This window comes from Homo sapiens, chromosome 22 (assembly GCF_000001405.40).
Source record: "Homo sapiens chromosome 22, GRCh38.p14 Primary Assembly".
Lineage (NCBI taxonomy): Eukaryota > Metazoa > Chordata > Mammalia > Primates > Hominidae > Homo > Homo sapiens.
In genome coordinates this window covers 11,891,120-11,903,891 of record NC_000022.11, presented here as the reverse complement: position 1 = coordinate 11,903,891, position 12,772 = coordinate 11,891,120, and the positions used below count along the sequence as shown (strand labels likewise).

At 36.0% G+C, this 12,772-nt stretch overlaps 1 long non-coding RNA gene across 1 annotated transcript in view; it reads right to left on the bottom strand.

Annotated features, from left to right (window-relative positions):
- The window catches only part of LOC102723769 (uncharacterized), a 59,129-nt gene extending 52,643 nt beyond the window's left edge, over positions 1–6,486 (bottom strand). The window contains exon 1 of the long non-coding RNA NR_110761.1: positions 6,425–6,486. This is a non-coding gene — a long non-coding RNA (uncharacterized LOC102723769). The remainder of the gene's footprint in view (positions 1–6,424) is intronic.
- Between the last annotated feature and the right edge of the window lie 6,286 nt (positions 6,487–12,772).

Genomic DNA, 12,772 nt, shown 5'->3' with positions numbered 1-12,772 from the left:
AGAATTTACATTCCACATCTTTAAGTGTGAGTTCCTTCTTATTTAGTGAAGCTGTATTATATCCTTGTTTAACTGCTCTAATTGTTTTTTATGTTGTGCTTGTTCCTAAAACAAAGGAAAAGAATACACTTTTAAAACAATTATAACCTAATTATTATGTTTGTTGCCTTTCATTTTGAGTCAGTGATTCAAAGAGTATTTTTGAATATGTTAAAAAAGAGGATGAAGTTTAAAATATTTCAGCAATATCAAAACTAATAACTGAATTCAGAATTAAGTCTGATTTGTAAAAATTTGAAATCATAATTATGCTAGTATTAATGTAATCTGGTCATATAAAAAGTAATAGAATCCATTCATAGTTTTAAAAAGTGATCAATGAACACTGTAGCTTAAGACCAATTCATAATTATCACATAATTTCTAAATCACAATTTTTTCCTATGCCAACTGGTCTTAATCATCAAATGACTCCATAATGAGAATCATTACTCTGAAAGATTGATTTTGTTATAATAATAATGGAAATTTAAATATTTAAAAGAAAAAACAGATACCATTTTTTTTCTAGAACTCTACAAAGCAGATTGCTACAAGAGAGGCAGAGGAAACACTATATATATATATATATATATATATATATATATATATATATATATATATATATAATATATATCTCCAAAATATAATTTGCAGTGAAATAAATGAAAGCACATTACAAGTAAACTTATCTGATTTAAACAACTCACCTGTAAATGGATTTCTTCTAATTTTTCTACTGCCTGCATTGCCCTTTCATCTAGCTCTGATTTATATTCTTGTAGTTTACTAAGTTCTACCATACTGTTTTCCATATGTGTCTTAAGATTTAATATTTCTTCTTCCAACATCTTTTTATCCTCCTCAAGTTTTTCACATTCCTGTTGTACTTTTTTCATAGATAATAACTCCTGTTGAAAAACTTGATTCTCTTTAGCCAAATTGACACATTTTGAAGATACAGCTTCCTTCTCCGCCATAAGATCATCAAACTGCATGAATAAAATAGTATAGCTTGATAATTAAGTAGGCTGAGAATAATCGAATACAAAACCAATAGCAAATTTTGAAATGCATTTATTTGCAATAAAATGTTATCTGTAATGCAGCAGATTCTTCAAATGTGAACCCTTAAATTACTCAGAATTTTAAGAACAAAGTTAAAGCTACCATGAGTCATAAAAATATATTCTTTACTATCATCATCTTTGCCACAGAATTTTTGTACTTCATTTTACTTTTATTTTTCTGATAATTCATTTTTGTTCCTCCTTAAATGGCACAAAGTTATCTCCTAGTAAAAAGTGTCTAACCCCCTTCCTTCATTATCATTCCCCACAGTATGTCAAAAAAAGTTTCAGAGATATCATATTGAGTTATTTAGGCCAAAGTCAATAAATGGGTCTAGGAATAAGACTTTGAAAATGATATTACACTCTATATTAGGTATGGTGGCTCATGCCTGTAATCCTAGCACTTTAAAAAGCTGTGGCAGAAAGATCACTTGAGGCCAGGAATTTGAGATCAGCCAGAGCAACATAGTGAGACCCCCATCTCTACAAAAAAAAAATTTTTTTAATTACCCGGGCATGGTGGCTCATGCCTGTAGACCCAGCTAGTTGGGATACTGAGGCAAAAGGATGGCTTGTACCCAGAGTTCAGGGCTGCAGTGAATTATTATCACTGCACTTCTGCCTGGATGACAGACAAAGACCCTATCTCAAAAAACAACACAAAATAATGAAATCTATGATTAAGGATTCTGATGCTATAAGCTTTTCCTTAAACTGCAAATGTTTCATGCTAATTTGAATTGCATTTTAAGAAGTAATGATTCTTGGGGTAAAGACCATAGAATACGGCACCCAGAAATAAATCCACATATTTCCAGCCAACTGATTTTGGACGAACATGCCAAGAACATACGCTGGGGAAAGGACAGCCTCTTCAAATGAATGACACTGGGAAAACTAAATATCCATATGGAGAAGAATGATATTAGCTTCCTATGTAACACCATATAACAACATAAACTCAGAATCGATTGAAGACTGAAATGTAAGGCCCAAAATTATCAAACTACTCTAAGTAAATATAGGGAAAATGCTTGAGGACATTAGTCTGCACAAAGATTTTTATGGGTAAGACATCAGAAGCATAGGCAAACAACAAATCATAGACAAAAGACACTACATTAAGCTAAAGAGCTTCTGTCCAGCACACAACTGAGTGAAGAGAAAACCTGTAGAATAGGAGAAAATATTGTCAAGCTATTCACCTAATAAGGGACTAATATACAAAATATACAAAAAAACTCAAACAACTTCACAGTAAAAAAAATCTGAGTTTAAAATTGGGCAAAATATCTAACTATACTTTTTTTAGAAAAAGAAATACAAATAGCCAATAAGTAAATTTTAAAATGCTCAGTATCACTAATCCTCAGGGAAATACAAATCAAATCTACAATGTGATATAATCTTGCTTCAATTTGAATAAATTGCTGTCATTGAAAAGACAAAAAAAATAACAAATGCTGGTGAGGCTCCAGAGAACAGTAAACTCTTACATGCTGTTGGTGGGAAGGTAAATTAGTGCAGCCACTATAGAGAACAACAGGAGGTTTTCTCAAAAAAACTAATAATGGGACTGCCGAGGGATCCAGCAACCCCACTACCGGGTATTCAGGCAATAGAAAAGAAAACAATAGATCAAAAGGATATCTGTCCTCATATGTTTACTGTAGCACTATCCACAACAGCTTGTGTATGGAATCAACCTACATGTCCATCACCAAATGAATGGACGAAAAACTGTGGCACACAAACACAGTGGAATACTATTCACCGTATAAAGGAATTAAATCCTGTTATTCGTGGCCAAGTGGATCAGTCTGACGGATGTTATGTTAAGTGCAGACACAGAAAGATAAATACTGCACATTCTTACTCATGTAAGGGAGCTAAAGGAAAATTGAAGGCTGGGAAATATGGCTGATGCCTGTAATTTCCTAGCTCTTTGTAAGACCAAGGCAAGAGAATCATTTGAGGCCAAAGTTCCAGAGCTCCCTGGGCAACATAGGGAGATATCTCTACAAAGTCAAAAATCAGACATGTGCAATGGTGCATGCCCATAATGCCAGCTGCTCAGGAGGCTGAGGTGTGAGGATCAGATGGGCCCAAGAGTTTGAAGCTGCAGTGAACTATGATCAAACCACTGTCTCCAGTCTGGGTGACTACAGTTGCCCAGAGCCCAGACTACACTAGCAAGACCCAGTCTCTTAACAAAAAAAAGCTCACAGAAGTAGGGGAGGGGAGGCTGGTTAATGTATACAGAATTACAGTTAGATAAGAGGAGTGAGTTCTGGTGTTCTGTGGCATTGTAGGGTGAATATGGTTAACTATGACTTATTGTATATTTTTAAAAAGCCAGAAAATTTTCAATGTTCACAATTCAACGAAATGAAAAATGGTTGAAGTAGTAAATGTGCTAGTTAGCTTGATCATTACACACTATATACGTGTATAAAAATATCACTCTATAGCCCATAATTATGTATATATGTGTCAATTAAAACAAAAGAGAAGGTACATTCATCCCATTTAAAAAACAGAATATGGGTCAGCCTTACTGACTTCCTTCTAATGAGTTGAATGTAGTGAAAGGGATACCATGTGGCTTCCCTATCTCAGACTGTTTTCCCTTGGAACCCAGCCCCAATTGTGAGAGCCATCAGGCCACAAAGAGAGCCTGAAAGTGCCTGTGTCAGTGTTCATGCTGCCTGTCCCAACCAAGTTTACAGCCGATGGCCAGCATCAACCATCAAAGAAGTGGGTGACCAAAGCTTCAGAGGATTCCATTTCCCCAACTGATCAGCTGTTCCTAAGGAAGCTGAAGAGAGCAGAGACAAGCTGTCCTGGCCAAGTTTTTCCCAAACCACAGGTTCATGAACAAAATAAATGTTTTTCCTTCAAGCCACAAGACTCTGGGTAATTGTTAGGAAAATAAGTTTTAAAAAGAGACAACAGGAAACATAACTTATGCAGCAGAAAAGAGTCTCCTTTAAAGCAGGATCTAATAAATGTTGATATTTATTTAATGATGTCAAACATTATTGAGAAGCAGTAGATAACCAGGAGAGAGACATAAGCTGCTGAGGAGGAATTTTCCTAAAACTCCTTCAATTATGAACTCTGATAACAAGGCAAGGGTGTCTTCTTACAATTTCCCCTCAAGTTAAGAAGTAAGACTGGGAAGCAAGAAGATGTATGATTTGAAAAACAACTAGAAATACTGGGTGACATAGGCAAAATCAGACATTTACCTGATTTCAATTAACTAAAATTCTAAAAGAAGAAGTTTTGAGTATTTATTAATCAACCTAGTATTCAATTTTCATTTTCTTTTCTAAATGAGGAAATAAGGAGAATATTATGGAATGATTTTTATTCTTCACAGAAGTAAAATAAGCATAGTGTGTTTTGAGTGTTAAGACACAAATGCAATTTCTCCTTTACCTTACTCCAAGCTTGTTTGTATGGAGAAGTTAAGATCATCCCATCTCTATGTTATGCCACAATGCTTCTCTGTAGCACACAACTTGGCTCTGAAATTTTGAAAGTCAAAATACTAATCTACTATGTGTCTCTGATAAATTGCCTGAACGTTACCTGATTTTGAAGTGCTGCACTCCTAAGACTTTTTCTTGGAATGAGTTAAACGTTTTATTCCAAGAATCCTCTACTGAGCTAGAAAGCAGAGCTGTGCATCTCTGTTTCAGTAAAAGGAGGTCAATACAGGGAACTGTGGTTTCTGAGAATGCAAGATCTGCACTAAGAAAAGGATTAGCCACAGTGCTACCCAAGAGAACCAGCTACCAGGAGGAAAGAGGGTCTGTAAACTGCAAGATGATGACTTCACTTGATTTCCACTGAGGAAAGCTGGTGGCTCAGACTTAAACTTCTCCTTCCTAGATGGTAAACATCTATGGAAGGTTCTATGAATTATAATGAGTTAGTAAAACATAATGCACTGAATATTAGACTATGTCAGCAGATCCTGTAACCAAAACTTACTGAAAATATAACTATAGTGGGAGGCAATGGAAAAGAGACTAAAGGCTTGAATGGAGAAAAAAAGAAATTAAGTGTGTCTTGTAAGCCTGGTGTCTGATCATGTCTTAGAGGAAGTAAGGTATAAGCTGACCAGAGACTCCTTTGTGACACAAAAGGTGAAGTTACAGACATTCCACTAAATTTAATTTTTATTATGACATAAGACAACTGGTAATATGCAACATGATTGAAAAAAACTTCTCATTCAATTCGATTGGGCCTTGACATAAGAATAGACATAAACAAGCTAAGAATTGACAATCTAAAAATAAGCCTGCACTTTTACAGTCAATTGATTTTATACAAGCTTAACAAAAGAACAAAATGGGAAAAGAATAGTCTTTTCAACAAATGGTGCTGGGACAACTGGGTATCCATAAGCAAAAAATAAATAAAGTTCGACCAAATATCTTATTTAATAATTAACTCAAAATAAAATAGTTAACTGTAAAAGCTAAAACTATAAAACTGTCAGAAGAAAACACTGGCATAAATCTTTGTGACAGCATTTGCCAGTGTTTTCTTAGCTATGACTCCAAAGTAAAAATGGATTCAATAGACTTCAAAATTGAAAACTGCTGTGCCTCAGAAGACAGTATGAAGAAGTGAAAAGGTAAGACGCCAAGTAGAAGAAAGTATTTGAAAAGCGTGTATCTGATAAGTGACTTACATATATAGGAAATATAAATAACTCTTGTAATTAATAAATAACAAGATAAGCCAATTTTAAAAAATGGGCAAAGATTTTGAATAGATATATCTGCAAAGAAGATATAAAGATGGATAAGCACATTAATAGATGCTTAATGTAATTAGTCATTAGGAAAATGTAAATCAAAACCACATGTGGTATCACTTCACACCACAGGATAAAATCTTTGTTCAAGAAAAAAGAGTGTTAGGAAAAATGTAAAGAAATTAAAACCCTTATCTAATGCTGCTGGGAATGTAAAGTGATGCAGCCACTTTGGAAAACAAACTGGCAGCTCCTTAAAGGGTTAAGCATGAAGTTACCATATGACACAGAAATTCCAGTCATAAGTATATACTCCAGAAAAATAAAAACATACACAAGCACAAAAACTCATACATAAATGTTTACAGCAGCATTATTAATAGTAGTCAAAAGGTGGAAAGAACCAGAAAGTCTGTCACCTTTGGGTGGGAGAGAACCCAAAGGTCCATCACCTGGCGAATGGATAAACAAAATGTTTGATGTATCCATACAATGGAATATTACTCAGCAATAAGAAGAAATTAAGTACAGATACCGTATTAGGAGGAGACAGCAAAATGCCTAGGCAGATACGGAAGGGTCCCTGGAGAATCTCCAACCAGCCCCACAAGTGTTTACACCAGATGTTATGTGCAGATAAGGGAACCTGGACTTGTCTTGCCTGGACATGCCCACAGCAGACCGGAGGCCCACATGCAGTGGGGGGATGGGGTGGAGTCACCAGGAATTCACGCCTTATGCAGAGGAGGAGCCTGGCCGCTTCAGCTCATGTGATCCTGGTATTCAATTGTGAGGTGGAAACCTCTTTGCAGGACCCCTCTCTTTGCTGAGAGCTGTCCTTTCACATAATAAATTCTGCCCTCCTCAATGTGTCTGCATGCTTAATTTTTCCTGGTCACGAGAGAAGAACCCAGATGTAGCTGAACTAAGGAGCAAAAACCCGGCATCAATACCTGCTACAGCACAGATGCAGCATGAAAAATTATGCTAAGTGAAATAAGCCAGTCCCAGCAGACCACTTGCTTTTTATTTCAGAGGCTTATAGGCAAATCTATACAAAGAAGGTGGGTGGTTCCCTAGGGCTGAGGGAGGAAGGGAAAACTAGTGAAGATGGCTAAATGCTGTGGGGTTTGTTTTTAGGGTGATGAAAATGTTCTAAAATTAATTGTAATGATGACGGCATAACTCTCTGAAAATACTAAAGTTAATGAATTCTATACTTTAAATGAGTGAATTGCATGGTGTGTTCATTATTTCTCAATAAACCTGTTACCCCCCACCCCAAATTAATTTGGTACTAGAGATCTGGAGATAGGTACTGCTTGGTTTCAAATCACTGGCCAGGGTTCAAGGTCTAAAGGAATCAACAACATGTCCTTTTTATAGAAAAAGAGATTTATATTTTACAAGCTATCCTTTTCATTAGTATCAAGTCTGTAAAATTAAATGAAAAATCTTTCTTTCACTGCTTAAAGCACTGACAGATTTATATAGAGGAATAAGACCTTGTTTTCTTTGGCCCCAATTTCTATCTAAAGGGTCTGGGAAACACACCCTTCAAACTATCAAATCTCATCAGATGGGTTTTATTAACACTTATAATGTGGCTTCCTTTCTAATCTGATTCTGGTGCAGCATCACAGAGAGAAGAAGCTGAAGGAAATCAAAATATTTTACCCTCAAATATATTTTTGATGTATTTTGAAATAGCTGCTGCAGGGCCAAGAGATTGAAATGGCCCTCATTAAGGTAGCCCACCTTCTAGGTCTTCCCAGATCTGGGGAAGATTAACTAAGAGCCTGAGGCATTTAAGTTTGAAAAGATATATTTACCCTCTATTTTCTCAACATATTTTGGCAGAATTTGGATTTTTCCATTATCAATATTTTCCAAAATGCATGATTTTTAATACCAAAACTGATTTAAAATTACCCTACGTTGGAATATAAATTATTCTATTATAAAGATACATGCATTTGCATGTTCACTGCAGCACTATTCACAATAGTAAAGACATGGAATCAACCCAGATGGACATTATCAGTGATAATGGGATAAAGAAAATATGGTATATATACACCATGGAATACTATGGAGCCATAAAAATGAATGAGATCATGCTCTTTGCAGGGATATGGATGAACCCGAAGCTGATATCTTCAGCAAACGAATGCAGGAAGAAAAAACCAAACACTGCATCTTCTCACTTATAAGTGGGAGCTGAACGATAAGAACACATGGACTCGGGGAGGGGAACAACAAACACTGGGGCCTGTTGGGGTCAGGAGGGAGAGCATCAAGATCAATAACTAATGCCCACAGGGCTTAATATCTAGGTGATGGATTGATAGGTGCAGCAAACCATCATGGAACACGTTTACCTATATAAGAAACTTGTTGGCCAGACTAGTCTTGAACTCCTGACCTCATGATCTTCCTGCCTTGGCCTCCCAAAGTGCTGGGATTACAGGTGTGGCCACCATGCCTGGTGGCTATTTCTCTTTTTAAATTCTCTCAGGACTCCTAAAATCTCAAAACTTTGACCTAGATTCCCTAATCTACATTTCCAGCTCTGACCATTTTCTTGAGGTCTCTTCCTTCTAGTACACATATTATAGAAAATATTCTCAACCACATGCTCATACATTGCTAATTGGTGCAGATTACTTTTGTAGATAGTGAATGTTGTCTATTTTATGTTGGTTCTCAATAATGTTACTTTGAGTATACTGTTATTTTCTAATCTCAAAGGGGGACTATCTCACTGTTATGATACTAACCAGTATACTTTGTCCTTTTTTTCTTGCTTTCTTCTTTTTCGGACCAGTATGCTTTGTCCCTTTTTTGTTTTTCTTTTTTTCTTTTTTTTGAGATGGAGTCACACTGTGTCATCAAGGCTGGAGTGCAGTGGCACCATCTCGGCTTACTGCAACTTCCACCTCCTGGGTTCAAGTGATTCTCCTGCCTCGGCCTCCCAAGTAGCTGGGACTACAGGTGTACACAACCACACCTGGCTAATTTTTGTATTTTCAGTAGAGACAGGGTTTCACTATGTTGGTCAGGCTGTTTTTGAACTGCTGACCTCAGGTAATCCACGCACCTCAGCCTCCCAATGTGTTGGGATTACAGACGTGAGCCATGGCACCCAGCCCTCTTTTTCTTTTATGATGAAAACTTTCCCATGAGAATCATATTATCAATTGTTTGCCTTTGTTTTCTTTTAAAGAAATTCCTTTTCCATAGAGATATGGCATGATGAAAGTCTTGTTCTAAAGTTTCTTTTGGGGGACACTTAACTATGTCATTGGGAAGCTTCAGTAAGTAGAAATCTCCCTTCTTCTCACTCAAGATCCTTCATCTCAAAATGGTGTCCACCAAATGTCTTAATCCAGGTAGTCGCTTGTTTAGAAATTCATGAAATAAGAACCTTCTCGAGAAGTTGGAGGCTATTGATTGAGATGGTTTAACACTGCCCCTTATTATATGTTTTACTCCCAAGGTAGACATCAAAGTGGCTAATAATTCTATGACTGATGTCTAACTCACTTCTATGGGAATCTATACAAAACGTTTTATTTATGAGACAGAGTCTCTCTCTGTTACCCAGCCTGGAGCACAGTGGCTTGATCACTGTTCACTACAGCCTCAATATTCCAAGCTTAAACGACCCTCCTACCACAGCCTCCCAATGTAGCTGGGACTACAGGCGTGCACCACCATGCCTCAGATAAGTGTTTAATTTTTTTTTTTTTTTTGAGACAGGGTCTCACTATATTGCTCTGGCTGGTCTCAAACTCATGGGCTCAAACGATCCTCCTGCTTCAGCCTTCCAAAACCAGGTGTTTAACTGGGGACTAACACGAAACACTTAGAAGACTACGTGGAACATAGTGAGCTACATAAAATATTTGCTATTAGCATAATAATTTTATTGTATATCTTAACAAAATTGTGTATTTTAGGCAGGTGGCATGCCAATGGAAGTACTCTCCTATAGCTGCACTGAATCATTCTTACCACTGAGAGTTGCAGCAAATGGGGGACATAATTTATAACTTACTTTTCTCTCTGTATGACTCATTAGGCAATGACTATGTATGTACTACAATGTAAACAGCACCTCCTGGATTGAATAGTACATAACTGACATGACCAGCAGAGACAGGCTAAAGACACTGAGCTGAAAACCCTGGACTCTATTGCTAAATCAAGGCTCCTGAATCCGTTCCCTCTAAGCAACTGTTGCTGTGGTGCTGCCTTCACAAGCACTCTGCTGAGCACTCAGATTGAGGTGCTGTGCTATCCGTCATCGGACAAGCTGCACCCAGAACTGTTCAGCTGACAAACTGGTAGCAGTCCAGAAATACAGTTCTGCTGCATAGTGAAAAAGGCCAATTTAGATTCTTTTTCATAGAGAGAAAAACATAAATATGTGATTTAACAAGTCTCCTGTATTAAACTAATTGGTTTAGATTTGATATATAATTGTTAAAAACACACTTAGAATATAAACCTTACTGTGCCAAGGTCTCAAAGAAGAAATAATTGGTATGGTATAAAGTATTGAATTGTATGCTACAAACTTCTAAGCTAAAATACTTTCAATGTATGCAAGGATAGGTGGCATACATATTATATATTATTCCCCCATTAAGCAAATTTATAATGAGAGAAAATTATCTTCCATAAAAAAAGCCATGTAAAATTAAGAACTAAGTTTTTCTGCACAGACTAGACAATGATTGCTAACACATAAGGTCAATGAGAGAACACTCAGAGAAAGCTTCATGAAAACAATAAATTGTCTGCCACGTCTGAGTGAATGTGGCTAGATGAACAGAAACTGAGAAGGTAGAAAGAATAGCATGAGCAAGACGAGTGCTGAAATCTGCCCAATTAACTCTGAGGATAAAGTCCAATGGCAGAGAAATAAAAACCTGTGTCCACATAATAACCTGTAAGTGAATGTTCACAGCAGCATTTTTCATAAGAGCTAAAAAGTGGAAACTAACCTAAAGGTCCATCAACTGATGAATGAATGGAAAACCAGTATAGCCATGGAATAGAACATCATTTAACTATAAGAAGAAATAAACTACCAATGTGTGCTAAAACATTACGCTAAGTGAATTCTGAAAACATTATGCTAAGTGAAAAAGCCAGTCACAGAGGACTACGTATTGTATAACTCTATGTATATGAAATAAGCAGAACAGGCAAACATATGGAGACAAAAGTAGATAGATGGTGGTTGCCTACAGCAGAGGTAGGTGGAGGGACATGGAGGAAGGCTGCAGTCATGCCTAGGAGATGTGGGGTTGCTTTTCAGGGTGATGAAAATGCTGTGAATATACTAATAGATACTCAGTTGTACATTTTAAATGGTTGAACTCTCTCAAATGTGAATGATATCTCAGTGAAACTGTTTTTAAAATCCAAAGGCAGGATCAAGATAATTTTCTCAACTCTCAATTTTTGATGTACATGTTATCTCAAATTTAATTATTTCCACAGTTTTATAGTATATTTTAAATAAAAGATAAAGAAAATGCCTAACTTTTCAAATAGTTTGTAAATTAACCTAAAACATACACTTTTAAAAGAATAGTATAATGGCCTTTCTGTACAAGTTATCCTAGAATCTGTGAAATAAATAGACACAGATTCTGTGTCCACTCACAAAAGTGAAGAAATAAGACAATTTTCTGGAACATTCCATGAAACATTCTTCTCTGATTTAATCTGGCCTGTCTCATCAGAGCAATACAAAAATTACTTAAAAATACTGTTTTAACAGGACAAAAGTCAGTTTTCTATGAGGAATGATGTATAATTCTCAACTTTTCCAAGGGTACATATTGTAAGAGAAAAGGTATGCAATGGTTTTTCAAAATGGTAGAATGAAAGTCACTATATAAAAAAATAAGTACATTATAGAGATAGTAAAATGGAAATAATTCATTGTAATGAAAATAAAAAATCTAGCTTCTGCCATAATTAGTATCCTAAAACATGTTATTTAATTCAACTAGCTACAGAATAACCGTTGACATGCTAAGTTCCATACATACTTGACTTTCCACTTGAAATAATTTCTTCTTTGGGACCTGTGTCTCATCCAAATTAATGTGATAATGTGATATACCTTCCAATGGAGACTCTAACATAGTTAATTTTTTTAGGCTGTCAGCCGCTTCTTGTTGAAGTTGTCTCACAACCACCTGAGAAAATATTTTGGTACTGATTTTATAAATTGCCTTATTATTAAATTATGTTAATAATATTTAACTCTAACATACCTACTTTGAAAATTATCACCACACATATCAATTCACCTTCTTTTAATCACATGTACACATTTTTATTTATTACTGAATTCAGTGAGGGATGCACAATATATTCTCTTCCTGCCAAGTTGGTATTCTCTTACTTACATAACAGATTCATCCCACCATTCAATCATCTTAGAAGCTCAACTCAACCTCAAAGTTCCTGACATATTCAATCACCTGTTCAAATCCTTCCAACAGATTCCTATCTCAGAATAAAGGTAAAATTCCAATGGCCTTTGAGGTCCTAGGTAAACAGGTCTCTACCTCTCTCTCTGACTTCAAAGCTCCTACAACTCCCTCCTGTAATTACTCCATTCCCACTGTACGTGAAGCCTGCCACCCCTCAGTCTGAAAATAGGGATCTAATGCCTTACTCATAAATCACAGGCAGCTACAAGTATCTTTGTACTGAACAAAATTATATTCCAATGATAGTCATTGAGCCTTGAAATAAAAATTAGGAGCTAATTATTAATATAAATATTCAAAGTAAACTATAAATACCAGTGGGAAGACTAAACCAAATATAGTTTTGCTAAATATTACCACAT